This window comes from Homo sapiens, chromosome 3, assembly GCF_000001405.40.
Source record: "Homo sapiens chromosome 3, GRCh38.p14 Primary Assembly".
NCBI lineage: Eukaryota > Metazoa > Chordata > Mammalia > Primates > Hominidae > Homo > Homo sapiens.
Genome location: NC_000003.12, coordinates 158,571,126 through 158,590,342, shown reverse-complemented (window position 1 = coordinate 158,590,342; position 19,217 = coordinate 158,571,126). Strand labels below are relative to the sequence as shown.

Here is a 19,217-nt window from a genome sequence, read left to right as displayed (position 1 = left end):
TTCTTGGTGAAATATAGGATAGTCAATGTTTAACTGTAGCCATTTGAGTGGTAGGGTCATAACATCTCATTGTAGTTTTATTTTGTATTATTTGTCATTCATGTATGTTCTTTGATAGAACCGTCTTTTCAAATACTTCCCCCATTTTTAAAAATCAGGTTATAAGAGTTCTTTATATATTCTGGACACAGACTTTTATCAGATACAGGTTTTAAATTTTTTCCCAGTCTTGGACTTGCCTTTTTCATTCTCTTAACATGAATATATTCAGCCACACAACCATGAATCTTTGTTAGGTCTTCAGTTTTTACCACATTTTGCTAATGTGTATAAGGATTTTGAGATGGGAAGATTATCCTGGATTATCCCAGTGGGCCCAATGTAATCACAAGGGTCCTTATGAGAAGGAGATAGTAGTGTCATAATCAGAAGATGCTACACTGCTGGCTTTAAAAATGGAGGAAGAGGCCAGAAGCCAAGGAACACAGCAGTATCTAGACGCTAGAAAAGACAAGGAAACAGATTCACCCCCATAAACTCCAGAAGGAATGTAGCCCTGCCAACACCTTGATTTTAGCCCAGGGAAACCCATTTTGGACTTCTGATCTCCACCATAAGATGATTTGTTGTTTTAAGTCTCTAAATATGTGGTAATTTGTTATAGAAGCAATAGGAAACTAATACAAGTTTTTTAATTTTAATTTTAAAATATACAAAAGTCTCACTCCTCTTTTAGAGTATAAGTTCTTCTAGAGTAGGAACTGTATCTTTATTCATTCATATTACCAACCTCTGTGCTTGACACACAGTATACATTATAAATGTTTATGGAGGGCTGGGCGCGGTGGCTCATGCCTGTAATCCCAGCACTTTGGGAGGCCGAGGTGGGTGGATCACGAAGTCAAGAGCTTGAGAAGAGCCTGGCCAACATGGTGAAACCCCGTTTCTACTAAAAGTACAAAAATTAGCTGGGTGTGGTGGTAGGTGCCTGTAATCCCAGCTACTCTGGAGGCTGAGGCAGGAGAATCACTTAAACCCGGGAAGTGGAGGTTGTGATGAGCCAAGATCATGCCATTGCACTCCAGCCTAGGCAATAGGGTGAGACTCCGTCTCAAAATAAAATAAAAAAAAATACAAAAATTCAAAATAAATAAATAAATAAATAATGTTTATGGAATTTGAACCATCCTATATATCAGATGGTCCCCCTACCATTTCTTGGCAAAATTACTAACTATTCTTAATTAAAGGCTCTGCTCACCTTGGTGCTTGCTACACAGAGAAAAATCTCCACTGCAACCAATGCCTGCAGTCTTGAAGTTCCTCCTTAGTGACTTTGGATTTTAGGGGAGGGGAAACTCCTATTTAAACTATACTTGGTTTTCTCTGGCCCAAGTATTTTAGTACATGGGACTTACATGTCCTGATGATAGTTCCAAGGGCTTCTTGTGCTTCAGTTTCAGCTGCTGCAGAGTAAGACCACCTGTATGTCTGAGAAACAACATCCTCAAATGAGGTTTGTTTATGCCATAGAAGCTTATGTCTTAATTGAGGCCATCCTGAATGTGGTCTCAAAATTTTGCGAATATCTATAAATATCTGTTTTTTATGATGCAGAAACACACGTATAAACTTTTTGTAGATTTGTAGTTCATTTTCCTGTCTTTAGATGAAAGCAACAAAACTGATGACTTAGAATGAGGGCAGTTTTTTTCTGCTTTTTTTTTTTTTTTTTTTTTTTTGAGACGGAGTCTCGCTCTCTTGCCCAGGCTGGAGTGCAGTGGCGCGATCTCGGCTCACTGCAAGCTCCGCCTCCTGGGTTCACGCCATTCTCCTGCCTCAGCCCCCCGAGTAGCTGGGACTACAGGCACCAGCCACCACACCCAGCTAATTTTTTGTACTTAGTAGAGACGGGGTTTCACCGTGTTAGCCAGGATGGTCTCAATCAATGTGTTATTCTGACATAACATGTATTAGTTATCTATTGCTGTTGTAACTTAGCAGCTTAAAACAACATTTGTTATGTCACAATTTCTGTTGATTAGGAATCAGGAGCAGTTTAGGTGGGTAGTTCTGACTCAGGGCCTCTCTGTAGGCTGCAATGAAGTTATCAGTTGAGGCTTTAGTCATCTCAAGTCTTGACTGGTGGAGAATCCACTTCCAAGTTCCTTCACACAGCTATTGGCTAGTCTCAAAAATCTGCTTCTAAGCTCATTCAGGTGGACCTCTCCACAGTGCTGCTTTACATCATGGTAGCTCTTTCCCCGAAGTAAGCCATCATGTGTGAGAGAACACCTAAGACAGAAGCCATGCTCTTTAATTTAATTAATTTATTTATTTTTGAGACGGAGTCTTACTCTGTCACCCAGACTGGAGTGCAGTGGCACGATCTCAGCTCACTGCAAGCTCTACCTCCCAGGTTCATGCCATTCTCCTGCCTCAGCCTCCCCAGCAGCTGGGACTACAGGCGCACGCCGCCAGGCCCGGCTAATTTTTTTCTATTTTTAGTAGAGATGGGGTTTCACTGTGTTAGCCAGGATGGTCTCGATTTCCTGACCTCGTGATCTGCCCGCCTCGGCCTCCCAAAGTGCTGGGATTACGGGCGTGGGCCACCGCACCAGGCCAAGCCATGCTCTTTTAAAAATGTAATTTTGGGAGTGACATCTTATCTCTTCTTTTGTATTCTGTTTATTAGAAACAAATTAGTAAGTCTCAGCCCATGTTCAAGGGGAGATTACATAAAGGCATGAATACCAGGGAGTGGGGATCAGCAGCATGTATCTCTAACTTTGATGGCAATGCATTGTTTTGAACTCTGATAAACTCCTTAATTGTTCCTTTTCCTTCTGGCCCTTTACAGAGCTTCTGAGTGTCACAGATAGGTTACTGGTGTCTCAAAATGTTGATACTCTCAGCCTTGGGGCAGCCAGTGAGGACTAAGCCCTGGAGCTGGTTACCTACGCTCTGGTCTCTGTCCCTTCTCGTACCCCAAGTACATGGGCAAACACCTTTTAAAAATGAATGACATTAAAATGTTAAAAAGCACTGCTCCCTAAAGACATGCTTTCTCCAATTTTAATCCATTATCTGTTCTCTTCCCTGTCCTCTAAGGACTACTTCAACTTGAACATCCTTAAAAAATCACTAGAGGTACTTATTAAAATTACAGATTCCTGAGACATATACCTAGAATTTTGATTTAGTATATCCCAAGCATGGCCCATTAATCTGCATTTTAGCAAGCATTCAGTCTATTCAACAATATTATCAGGAATCTGCATTCAATTTCTTGTTTTAATGCAAACTGTCTCATTTATTTAACAAATATTTAATGAACACATATGTAAAAGGCACGGTTCCAGGTAGTGGGGATAGAGCCCTGAACTTTGAAGGTCTAAAGCTAATTTTCAATGTCCTATTGGCCAAGAAGTTGGCATACTTTCCAAAGTACTCAAAATATAAATTACAAATAATGATAAAGCTATGATTAAATATTTGCCTTTTTATATTCTAGTAACTTGAAACCTTATTTCCACATTTTTTCCTTAATCAGCTTTTCCTCTTTATGTCTCTATTTCTACTAAAGGCACAACCATTATACTCCAAGTCATCCAGGTTCAAAACTTCAGGTATGAGCTAGTCGGGGGTTTTTAATCTGTCCTGTGCTAGCTCCAAGGAATGGAAAAATGGTGAGAAACAATTCCATTAAAAGAACAGGGGAAGAGATAGCATTCTAGTTCAGTCTCTCTCCATCAAGAAAAGTTGATGATGGTTTACTTCTGAATTACCACTGCTTCTTGTATCTTATTATTTCCTTCCTGGATTCTAACATCTAGTAATTTGAACACAGTAAACCCTTAGTATCTTACGTCTAAATTCATTTCACACTCAAACTTAAACCATGGCTTGCTTGGGCATATAAATCTCCATTATTTCCTCTCAGTATTTTGATAATATTGCTCCATCATCTTCCTACATCTAGTGTAGCTGAACAGAAGTCAGATGACAATCTGGTTCTCATTCTTTCTAAGAAATCTACTCTCTGGATGCTTTATGGTTTTTTTATATATATTTTTTTAATGTATCAAAATTGCACTTTCATGGGTCCAAGTGTAGATTAAAAAAAATTATCCCGACAACCACCAAATTGCCCTTTTTCTTTTCTTTTTTTTTTTTTTGAGACAGAGTTTCACTCTTGCTGCCCAGGCTGGAGTGCAATGGCGCAATCTCAGCTCACTGCAACCTCCGCCTCCTGGGTTCAAGCAATTCTCCTGCCTCAGCCTCCCCAGTAGCTGGGATTGCAGGTGCCTGCCACTATGCCATACAAATTTTTTTGTATTTTTAGTAGAGATGGGGTTTTACTATGTTGGCCTGGCTGGTCTCGAACTCCTGACCTCAGGCAATCCATCCACCTCAGCATCCCAAAGTGCTGGGATTACAGGCATGAGCCACCACGCCCAGCTTAAATTGCTCTTTTCAATCTGAGTTCCAAAACATTTCAGCTTTTCATTAATTCTAGAAATTGTTCTTAAATTACTTCTTTGGGTATTTACTATTACCTTATTTCTATCTGTTTGCCTTCTTTGTCAAACTTTTTTTAAAGCATATTTTTCTTATCCTCTGTGATTCTGTGTTGAATGTTGGAAGAAATTCCTTGACTCAATTTCCAAGCTTACTAATTTACTCTTTGCTTGTGAACATTCTGCTTAACTCATTTTTCTAAAAAAATTTAATTTCTGTATCTCTGGTTCTTTGTTAAATGGCTGCATTACCCTCTGACATCTCTAAAGAAAATATCCTCTCCCAACTCTGAAGATATGTCTTAGTCAATTTTTGTGTTGCTATAGAGGAATACCTGAGGCTGGGTAATTTACAAAGAAAAGAGGTTTATTTGGGTCATGGTTCTGCAGACTGACAAGAATCATGGAGCCAGCATCATCTTCTGATGAGAACTTCAGGATGCTTCCACTTATGGAGGAAGGTAAAGGGGAACCAGTATGTGCAGAGATCACATGGTAAGAGTGGAAGCAAGAGAGGGGTGGGGAGGTGAAAGGCTCTTTTTAACAACCAGCTCTCAGCTCTCTGGGAACCAATAAAGTGAGAACTCACTTACCACCTCACCCTAACCTCCAGGGAGGGCATTAATCTATTAATGAAGGATCCACCCTCCCATGACCCAAACACTTCTCATTAACTCCCACTACCAATGTTAGGGATCAGATTTCAACATGACATTCTGAGGGTCAAACATCTGAGCTATAGCAAGGTATTTTTCTTTTTCTTTTTCTTTTTTTTTTTTTTTTTTCAGACAGAGTCTTGCTCTGTCTCCCAGGATGGAGAGCAGTGGCATGATCTTGGCTCACTGCAACCTTAAACACCCAGGCTCAAATGATCCTCCCACCTCAGCCTCCCTAGTAGCTGAAACTACAGATGTGCACCACTGTGCCTGGCTAATTTTTGTATTTTTTTGTAGAGATAGGTCCCACTATGTTGCTCAGGCTCATTAGCTATCACTAGTATTAGTGTATTTTACGTGTGGCCCAAGACAGTTCTTCTTGCAATGTGGTACAGAGAAGCCAAAAGATTGGACATCCCTGTTAGACTTTCTATTGGTAGGGGGGGGTATATACATAAAAAAGTATACACACACACACACACACACACACACACACACACACACACACTTTCTTTATGGAGATTAAATATCCTTTCATTCCTTGCAAGCATATTTTCCTTTACTTCATTGGGCAAAATTTATAACAACTGATTTAAAATTCTTGTCTTTTAATTCTAACATATGTGTCTTTTCAGGATCAGTGTCTTATTTTTTTATCTGGAGAATGGGTCACATTTTCCTGTTAAGTAATTTTGGGTTACATCTGTACATTGTGGATATTATGTTGTATAGGGTCTGGATTTTGATATATTCCTCCAGAGTTTTGATTTTTTAAAAATAGGTAATTAATCTGGTTAGCCTTAAAGGTCAAATTCTGTCTCTTGCGTGGTAGCTCAAATCTCCATTTAGTTCATTTATCCTTCTTAGCTGAACTGCTCTGAGTCTGTCTTATGCATACGTGGTTAAGCCTTAGACAGATTTGTACAGAATTTATTCACAGTATTTGGTGCTCACTCTTCTCTGGCTCTCTCCTTTTGGGGACTTCTCTCCCTCCCTTTCCAGTGACTGTGGCTATACTGAACTCTGTCTTTGGTTGTTAGGTCAAAAAGACTTTAAAGGTCTTCGAACAGTTTTAGTCACTCTACATGTAAGACAATTAGGCTAGAATTGTCTTTCCTTTTGTTCAACTGTTGAGACCTCTCCAGCATATATCTGCTTTTGGTCATTCTCTAGCATCTTTTCCAGTAAGTTGTTTTTGTATTTCATCCTGGGCTTATAAAGTTATCTGCAAGAGAGTTGGTCCAGTTGGAGCTCTGTTGGTCACAGTAGAAATGAAAGTCTCCTCAAGATTTTAGTTACACTATTTTCTAGAATCTTCTTTGTTTCATTAACTTTTGATTCCTTAAGTGTTGGTTCTTCTGTTTGGTTAGCATAGCTTCTCTCTTTCATGATGTCAGTTTTTATCAAATGTTTGAAATAATATATTTAGAATAAAATAAATTAATGAATGTCAGGAAATGAATAAAAGTAAAGTTACTTCCACGGAATTGAATTAGGGGGGAGTAGTTTTATGTGTACTTGGTCCTACAGTTTGGTTCAATATCTGAGACTTCCATTTCCCATCTCTGTCTCTCAGACCTTGCACTGCCCTTTTATTTGTTTTTTAAGTAGCTTTCCTGTTTTTACATGCTTCCCAAACTCTTTAATTATAAGAGCGAATAGACATACCTTTTTTCTATTAAATTAGCTTCTCTAGCTGATTTTCTTGTTCTTCCCTTTCTTTCTTTCCCTTTATTTCTTTTTTAAACAACATTTACTGTCTCACAGTTCTGGAGGCTGGAAGTCTGAGATCAACATGTCAGCAAAGTTCATTTCTCTTGAGGCCTCTTCTCTCCTTGACCTGCAGATCCCTGTGTCCTCACATTATCCTTTCTGTTGGTTCCTTTATTTCTGAGATTCCCTACAGCAAAATAGCACCTGGGGGCAATAATCTATCATCCAAAAAGAAAGTGAGGGGAAGAGTGGAGTGACTGCAAATTAAATTCTTCCCGTCATATACAGTCATTTTCAACTACTGCTTTAAATTAGCAACACAAAGGAGAAAAGAACATTTTGCTGCTGGAAATTACTGAGCAGACTTAAGGCCGGGATATACACTTGGGGGAAAGGGAAGGAGAAGAATATAAGAGGTAGATTGGCATTCAATCCATTAAATGTGTGTGTGCCTATTATTATTTGAACAAACTGTTATCTATCAGATCCATTAAGAATAAGAAAAATAAATGTGTTTATTTTACCTTAACTTATTCTCTGATGCTCTTGCTTTTTTAATGTACATCAGAGTTTCTGACTTGTATGATTTTCCTTCTCTCTGAAGAACTTCTTTTAACATTTCTTGCAAGGCAGGTCTACTGTCAACAAATTCACCAAATTTTTGTTTGTCTGAGACAGTCTATTTCTTCTTGACTTTTAAAGGATAATTTTGCAGGATACAGAATTCTAGGTCAGTGGGTTTTTTTCCTCTCAACACTTTATATATTTCATGCCATTCTCTTCTTGCTTGCATGGTCTCTGAAGAGAAGTCAGATATAATTATTTTCTTTGCTCTTCTACAGGTTTTTATTCCCCCTCTAGCTTCTTTCAAGATTTCTTCTTTATCTTTGATTTTCTACAGTTTAAATACGACACACCTAGGTTTAATTTTTTTTTGCATTTATTCTGCTTGGTGTTCTCTAAACTTCTGAGATCTGTGGTTTGGTGTATGACATTAATTTGGGGTAATTCTTAGTCTTCATTTCTTCAAATATTGCTTCTGTTCCTTTGTACTATGGTACTCCTATTACAGGTTATATCTTTCGTAGTTGCCCTACAGTTCTTGCCACAGTTCTTGGATATTATGGGTTTTTTTTTTCCAGTCTTTTTTCTCTTTGATTTTCAGTTTTGGAAGTTTCTACTGTCATATCCTCAAGCTCAGAGATTCTCTCCTAAGCTGTTCATAGTCCACTGATAAGCCCATAAAAGGAATCCTTCATTTCTCTCTTTTTTTTTTGACAGAGTCTCCCTCTGTTGCCCAGGCTGGAGTGCAATGGCACGATCTCAGCTCACTGCAACCTCCACCTCCTGGGTTCAAGTGATTCTCCTGCCTCAGCCTCCCGAGTAGCTGGGATTACAGGCATGCACCACCACGCCCGGCTAATTTTTGTATTTTTAGTAGAGACGGGATTTTGCCATGTTGACCAGGCTGGTCTTGAACTCCTGACCTCAGGTGATCCATCTGCCTTGGCCTCCCAAAGTGCTGGGATTACAGCCGAGAGCCACCACACGCCTGGCCTTCTGTTACAATGTTTTTAGTCTCTAGCATTTTATTTTTACAATTTCCATTTCTCTGCTTATATCTGTTCTAGCACGTTGTCTGCTTTTCCCATTAAAGCCCTTGGCACATTAATCATAGTTTAAAAAAATTCCTGGTCTGATAATTCCAATATTCCTTGCTAGAAATACGGTTTGGATACTTGTTCAGTTTCTTCAAACTGTTTTTTTGCCTTTTAGTATGCCTCGTAATATTTTGTTGAAAGTAGTACATATTTACTGGGTAAAGGGAACTGCAGTAAATAGACCTTTAGTAATGTAGTGGTAAGGTGTTGTGGGAGGCAAAGTGTTCTGTAGTCATAAGATTAACTCACAGTCTTTGGCTTAGCCTAGCCTTGGGTTGTAAACTTCACCAGTGTGCCTTAGTCCTCCCCTCCAGTGTGATAACATGGCTGGAGGAGCTGGAGTTGGGTATTTGCCTTCCCCCAGGCAGACTGGGCTTTGGTAAAAAAGTTTCTCTTGACTGCAGGCCTTGCTAAGAAAAACAGAATGCTCTGGCATATTTAATGGTTACTTTCCACCCCTCTCTTCTGCTGGAAGCATGAGAAGATTTTTTCCAATATTCACTGGGAGAACCTGGTAGAGCTCCTGGAGGTAAAACTCACAAAATTATGGGGGACCATGGAGTTCTTAACTCTGACACTTGTCCACTCTGAGTCTCCAGTAATTTGTCAACTACAGGTCAGGTTTTCCTACTACCCTCGCACTGGTTCCTGAAGAGGTTTCTGCACCAGTTAAGTTGTGATTCTCTCTATCTGCCTATCTCCAATTATGGGGGCAGAGATTTGCCCTGTGACCTCGATTCTCTGCTATATACAAGAAAAGTTGTTTTCTCAGGTTGTTCAGTTTTTAATTTGTTATTAGCGTGAAGTGGTAACCTTAAGCTTCTTACATGGCATATTATTATTTTGAGACAGAGTTTCATTCTGTCAGCTGGAGTGCAATGTGGCATGTTCATGGCTCACTGCAGCTTTGACCTCCTAAGCTCAATTGATCCTCCCACCTCAGCCTCCTTAGCTGGGACTATAGGCGTGCACTACCATGCCTGGATAATTTTTTTTTTTTTTTTTCTGGTAGAGACAGGATTTTGCCATGTTGCTCAGGCTGGTCTCGAGCTCCTGGGCTCTGCCCGTTTCAGCATCCCAAAGTGCTGGGATTACAGGTGTGAGCAACCATGCCCAGCCACATACCAGATTCTTGTAGGATTTTTAGTATGAGTTTTTGTCTTGAGGGGCAAAGGAAATTTAAGACTACCATTCCTAGATTTCCTACCTGTTAAAAGTTTGAGAATCACTATTCTAGCAAAATTATATGCAACAAGCACTATAAAGAAGTTGTGACAATTTATAAATTAATTTTAATTTAAAATCTCAGTGTGTACAGATCAATAGTACACACGGAGCAGCTCATGTTTTAGCACACTAGAAGGCAGAAAGGGAGTCGTTTTTTGTTTTCCAAAATCAGATTATGAAGAACAAAATTACTTTAAAATTAGTAATTCAAAATTTGGCATACGTATCACTCTACTTTTTTTTTCCACCTCACAAAATCTTTCTTTTTTTTTTTTAAGTTCCGGGGTACATGTGCAGGATGTGCAGGTTTGTTACATAGGTGAACATGTGCCATGGTGGTTTGCTACACGTATCAACCCATCACCTAGGTATTAAGTCCAGTATGCATTAGCCATTTTTCCTAATGCTCTCCCTACTTCCACCCCACTCTACTTTTTATTTGAAGGTACAGAGTTTCAAGTAGTTCTAAAATGCACAAATGAGTTACCCATGGAACATTTTCTAACTCCTACCTCAAAAACCAGATTATTCCAAAGTATTCGTTATACCTTTGCAGTATGTTTGAAATATTTCATAATAAATGTAACTGCATGAGGTTAAAGGATTTCATACCATTTGATGTTTTAAAACAGGCATTTCAAAAGGAGGTCCTTTTGCTTACAGCTCCAAACTCACTGGACATTTACAGCTTAGAGTATGGTTAAAGTATGGAGACTAAAATGCTTGTTCCTATTAATATATACTTACTTAGGAAAACCAGTCAACTTTTCCTTTAGATATGTAGATGTGATTTGACTACAATGAAGAAAAGTATTTCAAGAAATACTAAATTTGTTCTTTGAATAAGGGAGTGCTAAACAGCTATTACTTTTCTACAGAATCAAAATTTAGTAAAATTAATTTTTCTCATTGCATTATAATTGGGCTAAAAATTAATCAACAAAATATGGCTCATTTAAAATTTGCCTGGGTTTTTCTTTCTTTATATAGAAGTAGGGGAATATTTAAATGTTTATTTGAATATGTGTATGTTCAGCAAATGCTAAAAATTTTATCTTTCTGAGTGACATGAACAAATGACTGCCTGTTGGAAGATGCACTAAACAAAAGCGAGCCTATAGTCTGGTGTTTGCAACTGTCTGAACCATTCAGGAAGAAATCTGGCTGAAACTTCTAGTGAGTTTAATTCATGTCTACCCAGAAAGGCAGCTGCTTGGAGATAAGGCTTTAATGTTTCTCTTGTCCAAGTTTGAATTCACTTTTATCAAAACTAAAAAAATTCTATGGTAGCACACAGTTGTTTTAATATTTTTAAAATTAACCTAGGCTTTTTTTCTCAAATGAAAAATTTTAGCCCATTCATAATGTTCTCTTTTGAAAATAAAATTTCATTCTTCTAGGAAAACAAATTGGAAATAGGAGGTTTTAAAAAGGTCATGCTATACAAACTAGTCATTTCATGTACACAAAGAGTCTAAGGTAATAATTTGAAAATGTTGTTAAAGATTTATGTGAGAAATATGCTTTGTATGTTCATAGGGTGCAATATTTTGCAGACTCTAAAGTCATGCTTTAGTGAATATCTAAAGACCAGGAAAACGTTCATGGTATATGTTGCAGAAAAGCATTGAATAATTAACCATAAAGTGTGGTCCGAATTTTGGAAAATAAAAATCCACATGTGGACATCTGAAACAAAATACATCAAAATAATGGGTTGTATTATTTCTGCTACCAAACTTTCTATACTTTTCAGATTTTCCATGAGGATGTATTTTCATTTAGGTCAAGAAAAATGTACTTTTACTCACTGATGACTATATACCTCCTCTCTTAGAATTGCTCACACAAACCACAACCAAACTGAATAAACTTTGGTCTCAAACGTACTTTTTCTATTCTATATTATTTACCTTCAGCATATATCACAAGGCAGGAAAAATAAATTGTTGCCTACTTCCCCTTCAAAAGTGTTTATGTCTTAACTCTTAGATTGATTCCAGGTCACTTGGGAATGATTTCAACATAGTGTGTACGTGTGTGTGTGTGTGTGTGTGTGTTTGTATGTATGTATGTACATACGTACATACATGTGTTTAAGGGCTGGTAATGTCTCCCTTTAGAATAATTTATTGTTTTTAAAACTCTCTCAAATACATATGTACACACACACACACACACACACTTATTTTGCCTAAGTTACACTTCTTTTTCATCTATATAAGAATATAGATACTTGTGCTTCTAAGCAAAGAGCATTACCTATTACATAAGGTTCTCAGATAACTGACATGGCAGGCTCACTCATTAAGGGAAATTCCTCCCTTCCATTATACATGGTAGTGGCAAAAGCTTAGCCAGCAGATGGTTATGGTTCTCTTGATCATAAAGAAATGTTCCCTAGTTTCAATGAGGTAGACTGGTCTATAAGGAAAATAGACCAGAAGATCCATGTTTTGATACTAGAAATAATGCATGTAACATTCAAAGAAGGATCTTGAGGGCAGGAACCAAGACATCTAAAAATTTAAAAGAGAACCCACAGGGTTCGGCCTATAGTAGAAACTGAAGAAATATTTAAAGAATGAATTACATTTTTATTAAGCAATTCTATTTTTCCATTGTCTTGAAGTACAAAGTGTTGGTGTGGCAAAAGCCTTTGATATCAAAAAAATTGTGGAAATGATTATGCTCCCCTGATATTCTATAAATAGTTCACTCCTTTTTCATGGATATTTACAATATTAATTGGCAGAAGTAGGAATTATCTTGTGGGTACATGCTACTGTATGGCATTTTTGACCCAGCAACCATGTCCTAGTCATGCTGTGTTCCTGGGCTCCTAATTCAGTGGTGTTTACCTCATGAACCAAAGAATGCCCCAAATGAATAGTATACCTTAGAAATCCTTTCAGCACAAGGCTTACAGTGTCTCATTCTTTCAAATATGATCTTATAATTTGCAAAGTTCATTTATAAGAAATTTATATATTAAAATATTCCTAAGAACAATTATACTAGGTAATTTCACAGTAGGTATTCAGGGTCTTAGAATAAAGTGGGACCTTGAAAATAAGTAACTTAAATTTTAGCTGAGTATTCTCAAGCTACTTTTATCAACTGTTTAGAATGAGAGGTATATGTGGCAGAATATTAACTAGAGCCAAGCTATGACAATTTGGCAGAGACTCTACCTCAGACTGTACGTCTAAACAAGTATTTAAGTAGTAACCTTGAATACTGTTTCCAAAAGCTTAACAAGGTGGTTTTATTTCCTTCAATGAGAATGTTTTCCATCAATAAAAAAGTTAACCCACATCTTGTACATAGAATACATTCACTTTGAACTCCATCAGTGGATAGGACAAAGCAATGTCCTTTAATAAATCCAACTACTTCCAAGTATAAAATAAATACAAATTTGTAAAAATTTTTAAAATAGAGATTATACATATAAGGAGATAGAAGAAGTAACATCCTGTGAATATATGCAGTACTTTAACCAAATACTGGTCATCAGATATATGATGCTCATATGGAGAGCTGAGAGGCTTAAAGAAGAGACAACAATAATTTATGATTAAAAATTAAGGTTGGCTGGGTGCGGTGGCTCATGCCTGTATCCCAGCACTTTAGGAGGCTGAGGCCAGCATATCACGAGATCAGGAGTTCGAGACCAGTTTGGCCAACATAGTGAAACCCGGTATCTACTAAAAATACAAAAAATCAGCCGGGTGTGGTGGTGTGCGCCTGTAATCCCAGCTACTCAGGAGGCTGAGGCAGGAGAATCACTTGAACCTGGGAGGCAGAGGTTGCAGTGAGGCGAGATCACACCACTGCACTCCAGCCTGGGCAACAGTGCCAGACTCCGTCTCAAAAAAAAAAAAAAAAAAATTAAGGTTGACAGGTTTGCCAGCCTGCTTCTGAGCTTTCTATCTCCAATAGCTGGTAAGTGGTAACATAGTTATTATTCTTTGTAGACTTGCTCGATCAGAATTACATTTTTGTAGCTCAGAAGATTCACAGTTCCTGTTTCGTATCAAATAGAAAATTCTGGGTCGTACTAAATATTTATAAACTTTCATACTACATAATCGATGTTTTTTAGGGTACAGGATGCCAAAACCATTTAACCTCAAAATCCTCTTGTCTATACATATGTACTTAACAATATGCATATTGTTAGCAAATACAGATGTGAGAGAAAGATAGTATTCTTGAGAGAACTGCATGCCAGGAAGTGCTAGCTTTTAACCTTTGTGTTTTTAATCAAGTAACAGATATTGTTTAAGAAGGTATATCTGAATATACTGTAATGTAAATTTTCAATGAAATAACTTCAGCCCTGAGACATAATGAGATACCAAAGTTTAAAAATCCCAAGTATGTAATAAAACACCAAATTTTAAAATATAACTTTTAACATTTCCTTTTACTTTTCTGAAGAAACATTTAAGATGCACTGTTATAATAAGGTAAACATTGAAACTGAATATATTTGAATTCAAAACTACAGATTTTAATTACTTTTTACTTAAATATTTTAAGCAATTAACAATTTAACCACAGCACCTTATCAGCATCGTAGTATCTAGTAATTCTATTTTTATATCAAAGAAGTATACATTTTTGTCCATTTTTGAATAATTAGTAAATCAGTAGCGTTTGCTTATATTGAATAACCTTGATTGTGAACAATATAAGCAACTCTAATGGACTATTTAGAAAATCGTAATGTTCTAATTAGAAAATACCAGTATCAACAATGTTATTTGTTGAATGCAAATGATAATTACTTTCAGCAATCAACTAAATACCAGATTGACTACAAGAAAGAGAATAAAGGACACCAACTCACCATTAAACAACATTTACTGACTCTATGACCCACCCACCACAATGTTAGCAACAGGGATAATATTTATATAAAAGAGAGTGGGCATGAGCTATGTGTTTCACATCTCTATGTTCCTAAGGTCAGTGGATGATTCATTAAGGAGTTTGTCACCTTTATGAATTCTTTATGTTTAACTTAAGAAATGGATACTCATTTTGTTTGGGGGTTGAGGTAAAACGGGTGGGTCAAATAGATTACCCGAAATAAACATAAACTCATATTCTTTTTCTCCCTTATCCCCAAAAGTGTGTTAAATATAATTCATTGTGGAGAAAAGAAATTGTTAAGTGTGAATCAATTTTATAAAATTAACTGTAATATGGTGGTAATGAAAGATGGTAGTCTGTAAGCAGAGTTCTGGCCACTATTTTGTATATTTAAAAGGTCTATGCAAAAGCTTTGTGATGAATAAAGGAGATTAGGCTTAAAAAAAGTTAACTGCAACAATTTTACCTTCAATTTTTATGATATGGCTCCTTGCATTTGAAAAAGGCTATAGATAGTGATAACTGAAAGAGTAACTGATGGTCCTTTTCACCCTAAGCACAGAGGAAGAGTTCTTCTGTATGCTTACTATTTGTAGTCTGTTACTATTTCTGACCCTGACTCTTGAATTCATTGCCTCTGCTCAGAATCACTCAAGAGTTTAAATTACACTTCTGCTAGACATTTTAAAGAACATATTATACTCATTACACATTCACAGTTAAGGATGGAATCCTTAACAATGAAGGATATAAAACAACTTTTGGTATAATCAAGGATATAATACAACTCGAAAATTGTCTATCATAATCTTCTTAGCTGTTACCAATTGTATGATGTCATATTTACATATGAATGACTTCAACACCTCAATAATCTATGGATTTGTAGTACTGTGATTCTCTTGAAAGCCAGAGCTTATGTAATACAAAATAATAAAATTATGGATTTTACAAAATAATATTCTCTGGCTAAATATTCTTTTTTTTTTTTTTTTTTGAGACAGTGTTTCACTCTTGTTGCCCAGGTTGGAGTGCAATGGCGCAATCTCGGCTCACTGCAACCTCCACCTCCTGGGTTCAAGTGATTCTCCTGTCTCAGCCTCCCAAGTAGTTGGGAGTATAGGTGTGTGTCACCATGCCTGGCTAATTTTGTATTTTTTTTTTTTTTTTTTTTTTAGTACAGATGGGGTTTCACCATGTTGGTCAGGCTGGTCTCCAACTCCTGACCTCTGGTGATCCACCCACCTCGGCCTCCCAAAGTGCTGGAATTACAAGCGTGAGCCACCAAGCCTCGCCTCTGGCTTTCAAAAGAGAGAATCACAATAATACAAAAATTTAAACCTGTTAAAATAACACTGTCCATATCCCAACAGCTCCTAAACACGTTAACTAAAATGGCATAATAAATTTGCCTGAGTTCATGTATGCCTTAATAAATAATCTTCAGAAAAAAATTTTAATCATTTTATTTTTCTATATTAACCATTTCATTTCCCACTGTTCATTATCTTTTTATTAATGTTATTTTGCTTTAAATTAGTACTAACATATTTAAGTCAATCATTTATTTAAACAACAACATTGGCTAGGTGCAGTGGCGCATGCCTGTAATCCCAGCATTTTGGGAGGCCGAGGGAGGCAGATCACTTAAGCTCAAGAGTTTGAGACCAGTCTGGGTAACACGGCGAAACCTCCTCTCTACAAAAAAAATTAGCAGGGTGTGGTGGCTCCCTCCTGTGGACCCAGCTACTTGTGAAGCTGAGGCAGGAGGATCGCTTGAGCCTGGGAGGCAGAGGCTGCAGTGAGCCGAGAGCAACCCACTGCACTCTAGCCTGGGCAACACAGTGAGACCCTGTCTCAAACAAACAAACACAGACGCACAACACACCCCCCACAGATATTGTTTGAAAAATATGTGCAATAAACTCTTATTTTAAGACCTTTTTAAAAAATGCTCTCCAAATTGCAAACCTAGAAAATTTAAGGGATCAAAATAAACTAGACTTGAAATCAAAATTCAAACTGGCAAAAAACACTTAGGCTAAAAAGTATTACAAATTTCCCCTCTTAGGGATACAACTAGACTATGTCAATGTGTTTGTAACAATGGCCAAAGTTAGAATTAAGGAAAAAAAATCCCACAACTCAAAAATAAATAATAGTGAAACCAATTTCTGGATGCCTTCTTTCTAGGGCATCACATTACTTCACTGGGAACCTTCAAAGGCAACGAATGGCACTTGCTTACCTGAGGTGTTAAATACACACCCCCCCCCCCCCGCCGCCCTCCTCCCGCCCCCCTCCCCCCGCCCCGCCCCATCAGCTTCCCTGTCCTATTTCTAGTTTTGACAGAAAGCGGAGTCCCTTCACAAACAAGGTTAGCTCTGTAACAAAGCGAGCAAAGAAAACAGCGCAATTGGCATGGCAACTTCCAACAACTTCGAAGAGAAAGCACAACTCTCCAACTTTGTCGTGCTCTCATTGACACATTCCCCACTCACATGGAAAATGCTGTTTTAAAAACTTCCCCTTTTCAATGAACTGTCATGCTATAAAATATTACCTGTTCCTATTTGGAATTTAAAGAGGAGCTATAAAATATTCCCTGCTCCCATTTGCAATTATGTGAACATAATTCTCACCATAAGTTTCACCGAGATGGTAGTTATGTCACCTGCAAAGCCCTTGAAGCTGCAAAGGCCAACTCTGCACACAGGAAGCCATGACGGGCACCCAAAGTCCGGCCAAATGGAAAGCAGCAGGCACCCCGGGAGTGTGAGGAAGGGCCTTCTTTCCATCTCATGCAGCCAAATCCTCCTCCCCCTACCTGGGGCCCTCAACTCTCTACCTCACGTCCTCAACCATCCTCCTGCGACCTCACGCCCCCAAACCCTCCTCCCCCCACTGCACGCCATCAACTCTCCTCTGTCCACCTCACACCCTCAACCCTCCTACCCCCACACCTCATGCCCCTAAACCCTCTTCCCCACACCTCATGCCCCCAAACCCTCCTCCCTCCACCTCACGCCCCAACCCTCCCTCGTCCCACTACCTCTCACCCTCAAACCTCTTCCCCCTACCTCACGCCCTCAACCCTCCTCCCACATCATGCTCTCAAGCCCTTCCCACCAACTCACGCCCTCAACCCTTCTCCCCAACCCTCCTCCCACACCTCATGCCCCCAAATCCTCCTCAGCCCCTAAATCCTCCTCCATCCACCTCACACCCTCAACCCTCTTACCGCCACCTCACGCTCCCAAACCATCCCCACCAACTCATGCCCTCAATCCTCCCCTGCACTTCATACTCCCAAACCCTCCCCACCAACTCACGCCCTCAACCCTCGTCCCTGCACTTCAAGCTCTTAACTCTCCCCTGCACCTCATGCTCCCAAACCGTCCCCCCACCTCACGCCCTCAACCCTCCTCCCCCCACCTCGCGGTCCAAAACCCTCCTTCCCCTCACCTCACACCCTCAACCCTCCCCCACACCTCATGCTCCCAAATCCTCCTCCCACCTCACGTCCTCAACCCTCCTCCTACACCTCACACCTTCAACTCTCCCCCACACCTCATGCTCCCAAACCCTCCCCCCACCTCACGCCCTCAACCCTCCTCCAAACGCCTCACACCCCCAAATCCTCCTTCGTCCATCTCACACCCTCAACCCTCCCCCCTCCACCTTACTCCCCCAAACCCTCCTCCTCCCACCCCACGCTCCCAAACCCTCCCCCCACCTCACAGCCTCAACCCTCCTCCCCCCACCTCACGCTTTCAAACCCTTCCCCCACCTCACGCCCTCAACCCTTCCCCTCACCTCACGCCCTCAACCCTTCCCCTCACCTCACGCCCTCAACCCTTCCCCTCACCTCACACCCTCAACCCTTCCCCTCACCTCACGCCCTCAACCCTCCTCCCTCCCACCTCATGCTCCCAAACCCTTCCCTCACCTCACGCCCTCAACCTCTTCTCCCCACCTCATGCCCTCAATTCTCCTCCCCCCACCTCCCGGCCTCAACTCTTCTCCCCCCACTCCCAGCCTTAACTCTCCTCCCCACACCTCACGCCCCCAAACTTCCCTCCGCCTACCTCACGCGTCCAAACCCTCCTCTCTCCACCTCATGCGCCCAAATCCGTCTCTTCCCTGTCTCACACACCCCTAAATCCTCCTCTCTCTTCCCTCCCAGGCCTCCAAATCCTCGTCTCCTTCAAACCGCCTCCAGAGTTACTCCGAATTCTCTCTCGCCCTCTAAAACTCGCTCTTTTCCCTTAAAATAGCTCCCCTCGATACCTTAATTCCCGCGCGACCCCGGACTCCTGGCTCCCGTAACTCACGAGAAGAAGGGGTCATCCTCAAAACTGCTGTTCAGCATCCTGAACATTCTGGCTCTGTCTTGGGTGGCGGCAGCCGCGGACAGATTGGAAAAACGATGTTAACTCGCCGCGGCCGCGACAAGAGCTAGCCTCCAGTACGGACGACGCCTCACTCGCCGCGGCGCAGGCGGTGCCCGCCGGGATAGGAGGTGCGTGACACCGAGCTGCTTTCCCATTGGACAT

At 39.8% G+C, this 19,217-nt stretch overlaps 1 protein-coding gene across 20 annotated transcripts in view; it reads right to left on the bottom strand.

The window, feature by feature from the left end:
* The window catches only part of MLF1 (myeloid leukemia factor 1), a 35,263-nt gene extending 16,114 nt beyond the window's left edge, over positions 1 to 19,149 (bottom strand). For 5 of the 20 annotated variants that reach the window (NM_001369785.1, NM_001130156.3, NM_001378853.1 and 2 more), the window contains exon 1: positions 18,952 to 19,149. Coding sequence is in view for 7 of the 20 variants with exons in the window: in NM_001369781.1 (NP_001356710.1) it covers positions 18,952 to 19,011 (60 nt within the window). In the remaining 13 variants the exon portion in view is untranslated. Of the gene's footprint in view, positions 1 to 1,418; positions 1,492 to 7,413; positions 7,688 to 17,303; positions 17,368 to 18,749 lie in introns of all 20 variants that reach the window. The other 15 variants (NM_001369783.1, NM_022443.5, NM_001378845.1 and 12 more) reach the window with 7 other exon arrangements.